Consider the following 16,729-nt stretch of genomic DNA (forward strand, 5'->3'; position numbering starts at 1 on the left):
CACTCTTGTATTCCATGCAACCTGCGTGTGTCTGAAACAATGTTTCCTTCTCTCCTCCTCCCCACTGCAAGGGCTCCATGAATGCTTTCTTGGTGGTAAGGATGCAAATTTGAGTTGAGTTTCTGAGCAGACTCTCCTGCTTCAGCCGCCAATGGCGTTTAGTCTCCTTGTGAATTCGTGAGGAGGAACACAGTCACCATCGTGAATGAAAACCACCAAGTGGGGTTCCTGGGGGACTTTGAGTCTCACGGATCTGGTGATCCAGCACACAGCTCGTGCTGTAACTGCACTGATGGAATGAATGAGAAAACCACGTCCCTCCCACCCATGCCTTCACAAGTTCATTCTATTCAATGTATGAGTCTGAGCACCTGCAGTGTGTGTGAGGCATCATCTAGACGCTGGGGGACTGCAGATGCAAACCAGGAAAATGCCCAGCTCTGCTGCAGTTCCATTCTTCTCCATCTTGATGGCAGAGTCCAGATGCTGCCTTTTCTCAATGGCATCCCTTGGACTTCCCTTTCCTAGTTGTTCCTAAATCCCTGTGCCCCTTGCAGAGTCACCACGTGTGAAGGGGATTTGCAGGGGGGTCTCTCAAGAACAAACCCCAGGCATACATCTGTGTCTGTAATCTCCTACAGCTGCCAGACCTGAAACACTTTGTAATCGATCTCTGCCTACTCTCACTCAAACAAACGGGCGCTGCCTAAAATAAGGACTACGAGAGGTAGGGGTATAGTGGATAGATGCTGCCAATGCCTCAGCCGGCATGCCATGGTCCCTAGAGGCTGCACCTTCTCATGCACATCCAGGTGCAGTGTCACAGCCCCCCTAACTGTGCAGGCCTGACCTTTGGAGTGGGTATGACAGTAGCAGAGCCTGTAAGGAAATTGCTTAGTTCTTGTTCTGAGAAAAAAAAAGTGAACTCAAAATAATTTACACTTGGAGCAAAATCAATATAAGATCAAGGCAGTGCAGGAAGCATGCACCCAGTTATCAGCCTGCTGGGGGCATGGTAGCAAAGCACTGCAGACTGGGAGGCTTCAGAAACAGACACTGATTGTCTCAGTTGTAAAGGCTAGAAGCCCACGATCAAGGTGCTGGCAGGATTGGTTTCTCCTGGGGCCTCTCTCCTTGGCTGGCAGATGGGCTCTCCTCTGGGTGCACACATCCTTGGTGTCTTCCTCCTCTTACAGGACCCCAGTGCTACTGGATTAGGGCTCTATGCTTATGGCTTCAGGTAACCTTAATCACCTCTTTAAAGGCCCTGTCTCCAAATACAGTCACATTGTGGGATGTCAACATATGAATTTAAGGGGGACAGAATTCAGTTCGTAAAAACTATAAAATACTATGACCTTACATGTGCATAGAACTCTAGGCTATTTTGTCCAGAATTGGTGGGTTCTTGGTCTCACTGACTTCGAGAATGAAGTCGCGGACCCTCGAGGTGAGTGTTACAGTTCTTAAAGGCGGTGTGTCCGGAGTTTGTTCCTTCTGATGTTCGGATGTGTTCAGAGTTTCTTCCTTCTGGTGGGTTCGTGGTCTCGCTGGCTCAGGAGTGAAGCTGCGCACCTTCGCAGCGAGTGTTACAGTTCTTAAGGCGGGGAGTCTGGAGTTGTTCATTCCTCCCAGTGGGTTCGTGGTCTCGTTGGCTTCAGGAGTGAAGCTGCAGACCCTTCGCCGTGAGTGTTACAGCTCATAAAGTCAGTGTGGACCCAAAGACTGAGCAGCAGCAAGATTTACTGCAAAGAGTGAAAGAACAAAGCTTCCACACTGTGGAAGGGGACCCGACCCAGTTGCCACTGCTGGCTCGGGCAGCCTGCTTTTATTCTCTTATCTGGCCCCACCCACAACCTGCTGATTGCTCCATTTTACAGAGAGCCGAGTGGTCTGTTTTGACAGGGTGCTGATTGGTGCATTTACAATCCCTGAGCTAGACACAAAGGTTCTCCACCTACCCACTAGATTAGCTAGATACAGAGGGTCCACACAAAGGTTCTCCAAGTCCCCACCAGAGTAGCTAGATACAGAGTGTGGATTGGTGCATTCACAAACCCTGAGCTAGACACAGCGTGCTGATTGGTGTGTTTACAAACCTTGAGCTAGATATGGAGTGCCGATTGGTGTATTTACAATCCCTTAGCTAGACATAAAGGTTCTCCAAGTCCCCACCAGAGTCAGGAGCCCAGCTGGCTTCACCCAGTGGATCCCGCACCGGGGCGGCAGGTGGAGCTGCCTGCCAGTCCCGTGCCGTGTGCCCACACTCCTCAGCCCTTGGGTGGTCCCTGTTCGGGCACTGTGGAGCAGGGGGCGGCGCTCGTCCGGGAGGCTAGGGCCGCACAGGAGCCCACGGAGTTGGGGGAGGCTCAGGCATGGTGGGCTGCAGGTCCCGAACCCTGCCCCGCTGGGAGGCAGCTAAGGCCCGGCGAGAATTCGAGCGCAGCGCCGGTGGGCCGGCACTGCTGGGGGACCCAGTACAGCCTCCGCAGCCGCTGGCCCGGGTGCTAAGCCCCTCATTGCCCGGGGCCGGCAGGACTGGCCGGCCGTTCTGAGTGCGGGGCCGCCGAGCCCACGCCCACCCGTAACTCCAGCTGGCCCGCAAGCCCCACGCGCAGCCCCAGTTCCCGCCTGCGCCTCTCCCTCCACACCTCCCCGCAAGCTGAGGGAGCTGGCTCCGGCCTTGGCCAGCCCAGAAAGGGGCTCCCACAGTGCAGCGGTGAGCTGAAGGGCTCCTCAAGCGCGGCCTGAGTGGGCGCCAAGGCCGCAGAGGCACCGAAAGCGAGCGAGGGTGCACACTGTCACCTCTCACTACGATAGTGCAAAGTACTGTTTGATTACAGAAATATCTGTACTTGGCTGAAAAAAAAATCAAGTAGGCCGGGCGCGGTGGTTCACGCCTGTAATCCCAGCACTCTGGGAGGCCGAGGCGAGCAGATCACAAGGTCAGGAGATCGAGACCATCCTGGGTAAGATAGTGAAACCCCACCTCTACTAAAAAATACAAAAAATTAGCCGGGCGTAGTGGCGGGCGCCTGTAGTCCCAGCTACTCAGGAGGCTGAGGCAGGAGAATGGTGTGAACCCGGGAGGCGGAGCTTGCAGTGAGCCGAGATCGCGCCACTGCACTCCAGCCTGGGCGACAGAGCGAGACTCTGTCTCAGAAAAAAAAAAAAAAAAGAAAAAAGAAAGTAAAAAGGAAAGAAAGGGAGAGGGGAAGGGAAGATAAAAAGATATAAGGTCTATTTAAGGTTTTGTTTTGTTTCGTTTTTTTGAGACGGAGTTTCACTCTTGTCACCCAGGCTGGAGTGCAATGGTGCAATCTCAGCTCACTGCAACCTTCGTCTCCTGGATTCAAGTGATTCTCGTCTCAGCCTCCTGAGTAGCTGGGATTATAGGCACCCGCCACCATACCTGGCTAATTTTTATATTTTTAGTAGAGATGGGGTTTCACCATGTTGACCAGGGGGGTCTCGAACTCCTGATCTTAGGTGATCTGCCCCCCGTGGCCTCCCAAAGTGCTGGAAATACAGGCATGAGCCACCGTGCCCAGCGAAGGTTTTTTTTTTTTTTAAATAATATTTATAACATGTGATTTTGGCCTCCCAAGTTGAATGTAGTACATAGCCTGCATGAGATGGAAGCGCATTTTACACGGAAGCATTTCTATAAGCGTCCTCTCTCTTGAGGGGTGGAGTGCACTGATTAGGAATGTAGGCTCTCAAGCCAAACTGCTTACATTCATCTCTGAGCCCCTTTACTTCAGAGTGATGAGCCTCAACACACTCTGCCCTGCTTCCTCATCCGGGAAATGGAGATGAAAATAACAATAGCCACTTCATTTGGGGTTACAATTAAAATATATAACCCTCTGGAAACAGTGTCTTTTACAAAGTGAGTCATTCATATATGTTTCTTGTTATTTTTGATCCTCACAAATCTGGTGATAGGTAAACGGGGCAGATAACCATATTTTTTGTTTGATGGGAAATGCTTAGTGTTTCCGTGAATTGCCTAGGGATGCAAAGCAAGTTCCTGGTGGGGACTGGGCCAGAATTCCAGCTTCCTGACTCCAAATGGTCTTCCCAGTTAGTGCAGAGCATACTTTGAATGGCGCCCTGGGCTTCAAAGGGCCCGGTGCACTAGCGATCCCATTCCATTATCCTGGCGATCTTCTCCTGGCAAGAGAACTCAGGAAACCCAGCTCCTCTGTGTCTCAGGACGGATGTGCTTTGTGCCTTTCTGGAATGAAAAGATTCTCTCTGTTTTTGACACAGACATTTCCTGAATGTTCAGTACAATGAGTAACGCCCTCAGGACACAGATAGGGGAAGAGGCCCCATCCTCGAAGTTACTCAGAGCCCATGGTGACAATTGTTCAGAAAATGAGAGCACCCCTCATCATTTTCTCTCCTGGTTGAGTGGCTGGGGAAGAACTTGCTTGCCCTGAGGTGGGTACTGCACAACTCTTGCTGAGTCAGTAGGTGTGGAAGAGGGAGTTCAGCTTAACTCCAGACTATAAGATCTGGGTTCCGCTGGGGGCAGCAGCAGCAAGCCCCAGGAATCACCTAATCCTCAGACTCAGCCTCCTGATCCTCAGGAGTCCCTTCTGAAGTCCCCTTTTCAGAGCTGCTCAGCACCATCACAAGTAGGAAGCGAAGATCATCCCTGAACTGGTAGTTCAGATCAGGAGCACGCATTGCTTTGCCGGTTTGCCAGGGCAGGCTGAACGGCGCCTTTACAAACATGCAATTGAGTTGCACCAGAGACCGCTGTCAATAGTCATGGTCAGCAAAGAAAAGAAGAGGTAGGTAGTTTGGAGTGGTTCTGGGTGCTTGTCTTCACATGTTTCACACATTATTTCTATTTTTATTAATATATTGAAATTGTAGTCGCATAGAGTCAGCTCCATAACCGAACAAGTACAAAGTGAGCCAGGGTAGAAACTCTGCTGGCCTCTCTGCCTCGCCCCCACCCTGCCTCAATCTCATCCACAGACACAAAGTTAGCCGTCTGCACCCTGACTGGTCCCTTCTGTGACTTCCCCGTTCCCGGAGTGGCTCCTCAGCACCACCTACACCCTCTTCTCATCCACGTCTCCACCACCTGTAACTCCTTGTCTTACACTTTCTAGGAAGCAATAAAAGAAAACGAAGCACCAGGTGCTGATGCCGATGCACTGTGCTCTTGCTGTTATTGGCCTATGCTCCGTATGGAAAGAGATACATATACTAAAGCATTGCACAGCCTTGCTGGGCTGCTCCCTCAGCCTGAATGCTCCCTCCACTGCCCTCTGTGAGGCTTATTCAGCCTTACCCTGAATTCCCAAGGGACCAAATGCTCAACTTGATTCCCTCAGCACCCTCTTCAAAACTGTATCACTTTTATCATGCATTATCGGTTAACAGATCTGTCACCCAATTAACCCATAAGTGGATTAGAACATGGACCAGATCACATTCATTTTTGTGTATTTAGCTCCTAGACAGGAAGAGGGAAAAAAGAGGCAAGAGTGTGGGACTGAACCACACAGGAAAAAGAGAAAAAGAAACAAATTAGCAATCTATCACATCACTTGAACTAATGGGAGCGCTCGTCTCCAAGCTCTGCACAGCACTTATGTGTATGAGACAAGACTCTGCCCAAAAGTATTTTATAAGCCAATTCATATGAAATGTCACAGAGCAGTCAATTCTAAACTGTGTAAGAATGAGTGTGTGCATAGCTACACTTATATGACAAACAGCGATTTGGACAAACTAAAGTAGGAGCCAGAATTCAAGGGGCTTGGGGATGGAATTTGAAGAGACCCCAGAATATGGGTAGAACCTGGAGAGAGGAAAGCAAACAGCATTTGTGGAAAAGGAACAGCATGAGCCGTGACCCCTGAGTTCTGAGCTCCAGTCAAGGTATAACCGGGCTCTGCTGGACCTGTGTGTGAATAAAGGAAGGACTGCGACTGTCAATTCACCAGTGAGGCAAGGCAGGAATTGCCTGGTCAGAGCAAAGGGGGCACGCTGAGGTGCGCTAGGAATAAGGTACAAGAGGTTAAAAAGAAAGCAATCAAATTGACAATGAAGCAGGAGATATAATCATTTAAAATTTAATTTTCAAGATGATATAGGTTTTGCATGAGAGTTATACCTAAAAGTCATCTGGAATAATCTTTAACTTCACAATTCATCTGTATGCTTCTGTTTGGTTTTAACTGTAGAAAATTTAATTTAAATAACTGTCTTAGGTAACTGGGTTGATGAACAAATGGGAGTTCGGTGGGGTTTAAGTTCCATTTGGGGTTGTCTTTCACAATTATGTTGTACAAATAAATGTAAAAATCATTAGCATTAACTGAAAATAGCCATTCACTCTAACTCCAGGATTCATAGTGATCTTGATCTATCATTTAGCGTTTCAGTTCAATACTGAAATTTCAGCTTATGACTTGGTAAGTGGTTTTTCCATTTGAGAGTTTCATGTTGTTTTGCTTTTAACAGCAAAGTAAGCTTAAAGAAACAATTGTTAAATATACTAGAAGAGCCTTCGTAGAGTACTCTTTGATAAATTCTTCAAACACTGTTTCTGAGAATGATCTCACAGAACAGGAAGACCTGCTATTATGATTAGTGCAGGGTAACCTGCCAAGTGTCCCTGTGGCTAGTCCAAGCACCGTCACAGAGGGACAAGCAGTAGCTGCTTCTGTTGCTAGATCTCAGTTCTCACTTTCTGATTTACATGGTGTGGCACCACGAGCTGCAAGTTCTACAAACTGTAACTTGGATTCTTCTTCCAGTACCAAATGCAAGTAAGGAAGCTAGGCTTTTCTGTACATCGCCTTCTTTCTTTTCTTTTCTTTTCTTCTTCTTCTTCTTTATTTTTTATTATTTTTTTTTATTTTTTGAGACAGAGTCACTTTGTTGCCCATGCTGGAGTGCAATGGCGTGATCTCGGCTCATTGCAACCTCTGCCTCCCAGGTTCAAGCAATTATCTTGCCTCAGCCTCCTGAGTAGCTGGAAGTACAGGCACGCACATCCACACCTGGGTAATTTTTGTATTTTTAGTAGAGACAGGGTTTCACCATGCTGGCCAGGCTGGTCCCGAACTCCTGACCTCAGATGATCCGCCAGCCTTGGACTCCCAAAGTGCTGGGATTACAGGTGTGAGCTACCGCACCCAGTCTATACGTGGCCATCTTATATGGTCATTGACACTGTCCTTCAGCTTTATCTGAACACCCCCATAACAATGTGTGACTAAGTGGAGTTGAGGACAGTAAAACTGTGCAGTATTAGGGATATATGTTTCCTTAGATAGATCCTCACATATTCTGGAAGGAGAAGAAAGTGAGAATCTGATCAGGTCTGAATAATACATGGCCAGCCAGCGTTGGCCATGGTGCTGTGCAGCTCATCAGGATTAGTCTTTCTTGTGCTTGGTACTCTATATAATACCTATTGACTCACTTCTTCAGCAAATATTCATCAATTGCCCTGTGCCAAAGAATACATTTGGTGTCATAGGAAACAGAGTTGAAAAAAAATTTAGATAAGATGGCATGGAACATTTTACCTTGCATCTAAACAACACCAGTTTTAAGCTGCACCGTCAGTTATTTAAATAGAAATTGAGGGGAACATCATGTTCGCTGTAAACATTTTGTTAACTCGTAATAGCAAAAAATTAATTGGGAATTACATTAACTTTTCACAATCACAGTTAAAATTTAGTGTAGGCCTTCTCCATATTCAATTTAAGAATGTATCTGAATTGTACTCACATGACATTCCCACTTGCCAGGTTCCCTGCCAACGCAAACACAACCTGTCCAAAAAGCAGCTCTGATTTTTCCTCCGTCACCCTTGCTCCAGACCCGGCTCCCCATTTCAACAAATGTCACCACCACTGTCCTGCTGCTAAAACTTGAAATAAAAGACTTTTCCTTAATTTCTCCCAGTGCCTCCCTACCACATTCCATATCAAATTCATCCGTAAGTTTTGTTGGGTTTTTCACCAAATTAGATGTTTGAAGTGTGCCCTTTTCTCTATCTCTGTATCTCTATGCTGATACTAGCTCCAACCCACTTCTGCAGACCCCTTAGGCGGCTCCCTCCTGCTACTCAGGCTCAGATGGATCTTTCAAACAAGCAAATTAGGCCATTCTATTCTCCTACTTAAAGTCTCTTAATGGTTCTCCACTCTACTTAGAGTAAAGGCTAAACCCTTTCACTATTTACAACTTCAGTGCTTCTCAGCCTCTGTCTGCTGGGGTAGTTCTTTCTTCCTTCATTCCTCCCCAGGCCAACGTTTTTTGTGTCTCAGGGCCTTTGCACTTACCATCCTCTCTGCCTTGAGGACCCCTCTCCCTCCCTGCCTCTGACTTCTTCATGTGGCTGCTCTTCCCTTTTCAGACAGGTCTTGTTGACCCCCTAGAAGGTGGACCCTTCCACCACTTGTTCCCTATACAGCCCCCTTAATTGTCTTCACAGCAGCTAACCCAACCAGTAATTCCACCATGGCCATGTTCCTTTTTTATCTTCTGCGTTCCCCACTGAACTGCAAGCTCTATGATTTGATCTGAACAACCTTCATCAGGTTGGAAATATTTTTTATCTCTTCTGAAAAATTAGGTAACTTTTACTCCCTTTAAGTAATATAAGAAGGCAGTACTCTGCATATACATCTTTTAATTTTAATGCTTCTCATACTATGATCTTTCTAAAGAATTTTAAAAGACAAGCTACCATCCTCATTCCAGCCACAAAGCCAACCCCTTATAGTGCTACTAATGGTAATAAACACAACTAAGGTGTCAAGTGTTTGAATAAACACTCGCTACTTATGGTCACATTCACAGGTGTGATGAAAATGACAACTATAGTGAAATTTATTCCTCAATTATAAGATGTTTTGTAATTTAAAAAATGCCAAAGTGAAGGTGTGGAATATCTGATAATCAAGAAAAGAGAGTATTGCTTTTTATTATTCTCTATAAAACCAAAGTTTGGAGACCATGTTTCATTAGTTATCTGTAAGGGTCCCTAGTACTCCCTAAGCCCACCCCCATCACTTAGTGATGAGAAAACTGAGGCCCAAAGGAGTGACTTGCCCAAGGTCAGACAACCTTGTAGTGGTTACGGGAAGGAGTGATTAGAAAGCTCTGGCATTTATTCACCATGATGTTGCTGTCAAGTTTTACTCTGTCCTCATTTCTGAAAGCCAAAACAATGTCAGCTTGGCTCGTGCTCCAGCGAAGAGTTAGAAACGCTGGTCCCTCGAGATATATGACAAGGACCCCAGGCCTCCATAGGGGACGGTGCTGCCCACTCTTAAGATTCCTGGCAAGACGTAGTCCAGGGCCAGGAGCATCCAAAAGAACTCACTCATTGAGACGGCAAAGTGCATCTATAAAAACAAGCACCTAGACAAAAAGCAAAGTTTATCTATAAAAACAAGCATCTAGACAAAAAGCATTTCACTTAATAATCCTATTTTTATTGACTCAGGTTTAGCACTAGTCTCTGCAAAATGTATTTATATGATTAGATTAGCAAGATTTGCAAAGCAATCTCGAGTAGTCCACTTCAATGCAATGAAGTTGCTTCTGGAATTTTGTTGTTGTTGTTGTTGAGACGGAGTCTTGCTCTGTTGCCCAGGCTGGAGTGCAGTGGCGTGATCTTGGCTCATTGCAAACGCCGCCTCCCGGGTTCACACCATTCTCCTGCCTCAGCCTCTCGAGTTTCTGGGACTACAGGCGCCTGCCACCATGCCTGGCTAATTTTTTTGTATTTTTTTTTTTTTTAGTGGAGATGGGATTTCACCGTGTTAGCCAGGATGGTCTCAATCTCCTGACCTCGTGATCCACCCACCTCAGCCTCCCAAAGTGCTGGGATTACAGGCGTGAGCCACTGCGCCTGGCCTGGAATTTTTTTTTAATAAGCCCATCAGGACCTTTCATAACCTTACAGTTGTCTCCCCAGAAAACACATTTCCTACGTCATTACTTTTGAAAGTATACTCCACTCTTAATTCTTACATTTTATACCAGAAAAAAAAATTAGTGAACACTACTAGAGTGTTTTCATTTTGGTTTAGTTATTTCTTCAAAATAGCTGAATTTTATAACACTGGAACTTATACTATTTGATATTTTAATATTCTTCACAGAGATGATATTCAAATTATGCTTTTAAAACATTTTTATAATTACCCAGGGGTAATATTCAATATATTTAACCACGAGTCTAACATAGACACCAGCTACTCATAACTAATGCTAGCATTCCAGGGCAGCATTCCGGAGGCTTCCAGAGGAGCCAGATATAACCCTTGGTTGCTCTTGGTACGACTTACCCTTGGTTGTAAGTTGATTCCATGGTCCCTGGGGCAAAAGTTGAGAACTGGGACATTAAGGTATGGGGCATGAGGTGTTGGCAAGCTCAGGGCAATGGCTATTTATTAATCTATTGGGTGTATTTTAATATTTTATAATCCATTTGGCTGCTGAATATTAGCCCAACCCTTTATTCTCACCATCACATTTCCAAGATACGAGACAAAACTCGTTCTCTCTCTGTCTTTCTCTGTTTCTCTCTGTCTCTCTCTCACACACATACGCATACACACAGATATTTACTGCTGATTCCAATGACGATGGCAATAAAGTAATGATGACAAGAGCTACCATTTTTCAGGACCTGCCATGTACCAAAGCGTGTGCTACATGGCCCCAATCATGCTATTTGAATTGAGTAACAAACTATGAAGTGAAATTCTGCTGAATGGCAAAAATGCAAAACCCAAATGAACACAGCAGCAGAGAGCCTTATGTCTCAACATTGATTCTCGGGTCTCCAGTGTGGTCCACAGGACAGAGGACAACATTTGGAACAAATGCAACTTAGTGGTATCTTAACTGGGTCAGAGATTTCTGCAAAGGAGTAAGTGACATTTACACCACTCCTGGACATTCATTTCCGTGTCTGCAGACAGAAGGTAATGGCATCTCTCCATTATATCCTTACTTCACCTGGGAATAACGATTTACTGAATTTCAGCTCTTGCTCTATTAGAATACGGAGCTATTCTTGGCATGCTCTCGAGTAAGTGTAAATGTGTTAGCCAGTCTGGCTGGCTATGGATGACGGGTGGGAATTCTGACTACCCTGGTCATAAGAGCACAGGGGCAAACACAACAAATACCTCTGGAGATTTTGAAATACAAAGGATAGGTTTGTGCCTTTCAAAAAGGCAGTATGTTCTGAGCAATAAGGCAAATGCATTTCAGTTTTAAAATGTTACTGTTCACAGTAGCAGAAATCTCTCTATGCATGTGTGTGTGTGAATATGTGCACACATACAGATGTAGAGTTTTCTAGACAAAGGACATGTTTCCCAACAACTGCCCTTAAAAGCTTTTGAAGTCAGATCGATAAGAACTCTTTTGGACCTCGCCTGTTTAAGTAGCCCACCCTAAGCATGTAACAGGCCTAATGAATGGAGTATCTGAGTAGCTCAGAAGACAGAGAGGAGAACATTGCTGAGGCCCTTCTAGCCATGGATAGCACTGGACTCACAGTCAAGGTAGATGAGAAATGAGTGAGGTTGGCTTCTGCCTCCCTCTCTTCCAGGGCAAGCGTACAGAGACAGAGTTCCAGGGTCTGGTGGCACCCAGATAATCCTTTTCTGACTGGTCATATACGGACAAGAGGAGAGAAACAATAATAGACAGCACCTTTTGAGCATTTACCGTGAGCCCAACACATTACGTCATTGAGTCCTCTCTACAACACACATGTGGGCACTGTTCTCTCCTTCATTTCACACATGAGGGGACTAAGACTGAGAGGCAAAGTGACTTACCTAAAGCCCTAAGGCTGGCCTATGGAGAAGGCAGGATCTGACTCTAACATCATTCCTGGCTGTAGACACTAGACCACCAGGACTTAGGGCAGGACTCCAGCCAGAGTGCAAGATCTCACTGGTGCAGGTTTCTCCTGCCCACCTAAGGCAGACACGCCCCTGGATTTGTGTGAACATTCTATCTGTCATGGATTTGTATTTAGACTGTGATTAATGTCAAAGTTAGCATAATGTTGATTTAGAGAAAGTGACATTTTGCCATGTTTTTTACAGAATTGCCTCCAAGACACACTTAAGGAACGCATTCCATGACACATGTTTGACTCCTGGAAAACTTCTCTGATGCTGAATGTCAAAATACTGCATTTCACTGAAAAAAGCTAGTCTGAAAACATAAACCATATAACGAGTCAGACATATATAGCACATGCCAGAAATGAAGCACTTTCTGTCATGTGAACCAGTCATACCAAGAGTATAAATATTGCTCTCAAAACAGTCGCTCTCGGAGGAAGTCAAAATTTGATTTAAAATTGGTATCCGACCGAACAAGCTTGGGATGCTCAACATAATGGAGTGCATAATCACGGACTGCTAAGAATGTGCAAAGCTGACAGTCACGTTTTTTCCTAACTTTCCACCAAAAATATTATCTTCAGACTTTACCGGGTTGGTTTATAACTTTAATACCTGAAAAACTTATACGAGCTAATGTTGTGCTGATTTGAAACTGAAGGGGAAAAAAACCCTCAGATTTAAAAAAAAATTCGACAGTCTTTAAAAGTCCAAAAGCTCTGGCTGGACTTCGTTAGTGGCCTCTTCTCACCCAATGCTGTGTGTGCGAATTCCCAAGGGACGCTAGTGCTCGTCGTACCTGTCTTTGTACACTTCTTCAATAAATTCTTATTGTGCTGCTCCTCTCTCCAAAATAGTTCAGTCAGAAGTTTTAATTTACTCCATTCTGACTGAAACAGAAGCAACGTTATTTTCTCTATTAAAAAATGGGTGAGAAGGAGGGAAGTCTATTTACTGATTAAATGTATCATTTCTTTTCTTTTCTTTTTTTTTTCTTTTTGGCGGCGTCTAGCTCTGTCGCCCAGGCTGGAGTGCAATGGTGCGATCTCGGCTCACTGCAAGCTCCGCCTCCCAGGTTCACGCCATTCTGCCTTAGCCTCCTGAGTAGCTGGGACTACAGGCGCCCGCCACCACGCCAGGCTAATTTTTTTGTATTTTTAGTAGAGATGGGGTTTCGCCGTGTTAGCCAGGATGGTCTCGATCTCCTGACCTCGTGATCTGCCCGCCTCGGCCTCCCAAAGTGCTGGGATTACAGGCGTGAGCCACGCGCCTGGCTAAATGTAACATTTCTTAGTCTTGTCTTCACTTAGTCTTATCCTCCTACCACTACCTATTAGTGGAACTAAAACAAACACGTAGGGTTTTGTGTGCGTAAAAAACTCTCCCAGAGGCTGGGTGCTGTGGCTGTAGTCCCAGCTACTCGGGAGACTGAGGCAGGAGAATCGCTTCAACCTGGGAGGTGGAGGTTGCAGTGAGCCAAGACCGCGCCATTGCACTCCAGCCTGGGCAACAGAGCGAGACTCCGTCTCAAACAAAAACAAACAAACAAACAAAAACCTCTCCCAGAATCAAGTATCCAGCACTCATAATCGTTTTAAAATTGTGTATCATGTGTTCACCAGATCCCAACTTCCTGACTGCCAGACAGGTTCCTTTTCCACCAACGTTAGGAATGAGTCAGAAGGTAACTCAAGGTCTTCTCAGCCTGCAGAGCAAAGCAGAAGCAACCCCAGTTCCCAAATGCATGGCAAGCTCATTCACTTTCGAAATCAATTTATTACAGAGTGTGTAGAAGGGGATGGAGCTGAGGGCTGCTTCTGACTCCTGAGATGGTTTGGATACTGTCCTCTCTCCAATTTCTTGTTGAAATGTGATCCCCAATATTGGACATGGGGCCTGGTGGGAGGTGTTTGGTCCCAGCAGTAATGAGAGAGTTCTTGCTCTGTTAGTTCACGGAGAGCTGGTTGTTTAAAAAGCCTGGCACCTTCTCTCTCTCTCCCTCTCTCTCTCTCTCTCTCTTTCTCTCTCTCTCATTCCCTCTCTCACCATGCAACAGGCTTGCCCCCTCCTTGCCTTCCACAATGAGTAAAAGCTTCCTGAGGTCTTGACCAGAAGAACGCCAGTGCCGTGCTTGCACAGCCTGCAGGACCATGAGTTAAATAAACCTGTTTCCTTTACATATCTCCCAGCCTCAGATATTCCTTTAGAGCAATGCAAAATGGGCTAACACAACTCCTCTTGCCAGCAGGGGACACATGCAATTTACTTGGCAGCTACCACACAAAGAGGATCTGCAGGCTAATTATCAGGAAATAGAAAAAACAGCAGAGACCTCTAATATGCATAGGAAGTCACTCTTATCCCTGAAGAATGGACACAGAGGGTTGGAAAGTGTGATTATGATGATGAAATTATTATTCCACAAAACTACCTCTGGGAAGATGAGCTAAACAGGTGCAGCACATATTTGTAAATAAGCCAACTCCTAAAATAATATGAAACTCTGACTCTTAAAGCCCATGGGTGTCTCCCCTAATGAACAGCAAATAATATCTGTACTCCAAATACTTGTCAGAGGAATGAACTCCAAATCTCTGCCACTTCCTATGTTTGCTTGTTAGCAAGAAGTCCACACCTGGAACATGCTTGAAGCACAGGTGCTCAGTTGGGGCACACCTTGGAGTCACCTGGGATCTGTCAATACAAGCAAGGCCTCTGTCCCTCATCCAGAGAATCTGACCTAATTAGAGGCCCAGGTCACAGTTCATAGGAGATTCTAATGTGCCTGCAGTACTGAGAACCCCTTGGCCTAAAGCAAATGAAGCCCTTTGTTCCCTTGGAGTTCCTAAATTGTATCTTATGCCTAAGGTAAGCAGGAAAATAGCTTTGGTTATTTTACTTGCTGAAGAGGTTATAAGAATGTGGTTTCACAGCATCTCACTGTGTCCTCTTCCTGGGAATGAATAAGCAGAATTGATTCCAAGCCATAACGTTAAGAATTGCTACACTGCTGAAAAACCTAATGTTTTTCATCTTAGGGACTCTGAATTCTGTACATAACTATTTCCCTCTTTGACTTGGCTGCTAAAACACTTGGAATTTCTGGCAACCCCACCTCCCCCGGTAAAGCTGCAAGACTTTGGGTATTAATTTTATCCCTGGATATATCTTTATTCGTATGCTGTGCTCTGTGTTATGCTGCATATATTTTTGTAAGCAACCTTACATTCTGTGGAATAAAATAAGATATAAATAAAGAAATCAAATATTTATATTTAATATAAAATATATACATATTTTATTTTATATAAACTCTGACAGACTTTTGCAGGCACTGAATAATTAAAACTGGTTTCACCAATGTAACCGATATGGCTCTACTGAGTTTGTGTTATGCGATAAATTTGGAGAAAGTATCATTAAAATCATAATAAAATTGAATTACTTTGATATCTCCTTGATACTGAATTATTCTCCTCATGGGTAAGTATCTGCATGCCAAACCAGGTCACACACTGACAGTTGTTATGTCCTGTGATTGAGAGTGATGTGTTAAAATCCCGTAATTATATTGCAATAGATATAAACTCCACGTGGACCCAGGCACTTCATACTTGCAGTCAGAATTTTTTTTTCTTATTTGTGTGCGTGTGTTTGCATGTGTGTGTGTGACAGAGCGAGACTCTGTCGCCCAGGTTGGAGTGCAATGGCACGATCTCGGCTCACTGCAACCTCCACCTCTGGGTTCAAGTGAGTCTCCTGGCTCAGCCTCCTGAGTAGCTGGGATTACAGACACCCACCACTGCACCTGGCTAATTTTTGTATTTTTGTAGTAGAGACGGGGTTTCACCATGTCGGCCAGTCAGAACTTTTTAAAGCATCCTTCGCCTCTAGCTTATAAAACAGAAAAGTACAGTATGGAATTCGTTTTGCAACACTTATTACAGAGAAAGTTATATGTTTACCCCAACAGTGTATTATCCCAACTTAAAAGATGTATCCTAGAAATTGTATGCCACGTAAGAGGAGAGAAGAAACAGAAATGAAAACGTTTATTGTTAATGTATTGGTCAGTTTGCAAACAAGCTAAACTAAAAAATAATTATTGAGCTCCAATTCTATGTTCTATGAAATAAATTGGAAGAAAAATACAATTCAGTTCAACACAATTCACACTTATTTTTTAAAATTCTGAGCAATTAGAGTAGATTGTAAGTCCTAAATTGTGAAATATGGACTTTATGTCCTATAGGGGTTCAGAAGAGAGAGATTATTATGGATTGGAATGAGAGGGAACTTCATAAAAGAAGCTAACCTACTCTGCCATTTCTGAAAGCACTCTCCCTGTTTCCAGCCCTCTTTCCAGAAGACCACTTTGCTGTTAAACACATATGAAATGACAGGCCTGTGACTCCGGCAGTCTGTTTGACTTGGTGCCTAACTGAAGAAAAACAAAGAAAAGCCTGCTGACCTTTGTGGATTTCTTCCAGAATTATGATTCTATGTCAAAGTAACAGGGGCTATAATATGCAAAGTTTTCTTAATGTTTCCATCCATATAGGTTTGTTAGGCACTTAAATAATTTCTGCAAACGAATTTTCCTTTCCAAGTTTGTCTCCATATCAAAAACACTTCTGGACCAAATAAGACTCTGAGTAAGAACCTGAATACCCCATTGCCACACACTTGTATGCATTTATGTCCACCTGGACTTCTGAGTTAAACAACAGTAGGTGAGATGTAAGATAAGAAGGAGGAAGTCACACTTGTTTTTCATTGGCTCAAAACATTGTAAAAGA

General features: G+C 44.7%; 1 protein-coding gene across 11 annotated transcripts in view, besides 2 other annotated features; it reads right to left on the bottom strand.

Moving 5' to 3' along the window:
- Positions 1 to 16,729, bottom strand: part of PIEZO2 (piezo type mechanosensitive ion channel component 2) — a 479,323-nt gene that overhangs the window by 351,139 nt on the left and 111,455 nt on the right. The window lies entirely within an intron of this gene.
- Positions 3,826 to 4,120: a silencer, noted in NCBI's record as "tiled region #14785; HepG2 Repressive non-DNase unmatched - State 23:Low". NCBI's record gives its function as "represses a minimal TATA promoter and a strong SV40 promoter by Sharpr-MPRA in HepG2 cells {active_cell/tissue: HepG2}" and the evidence as "EXISTENCE:reporter gene assay evidence [ECO:0000049][PMID:27701403]".
- Positions 13,740 to 13,799: an enhancer, noted in NCBI's record as "active region_13092". NCBI's record gives its function as "activates an Ori minimal core promoter by ATAC-STARR-seq in GM12878 lymphoblastoid cells {active_cell/tissue: GM12878}" and the evidence as "EXISTENCE:reporter gene assay evidence [ECO:0000049][PMID:35858748]".

The sequence above is a fragment of the Homo sapiens genome, chromosome 18, assembly GCF_000001405.40.
Source record: "Homo sapiens chromosome 18, GRCh38.p14 Primary Assembly".
Classification (NCBI taxonomy): domain Eukaryota; kingdom Metazoa; phylum Chordata; class Mammalia; order Primates; family Hominidae; genus Homo; species Homo sapiens.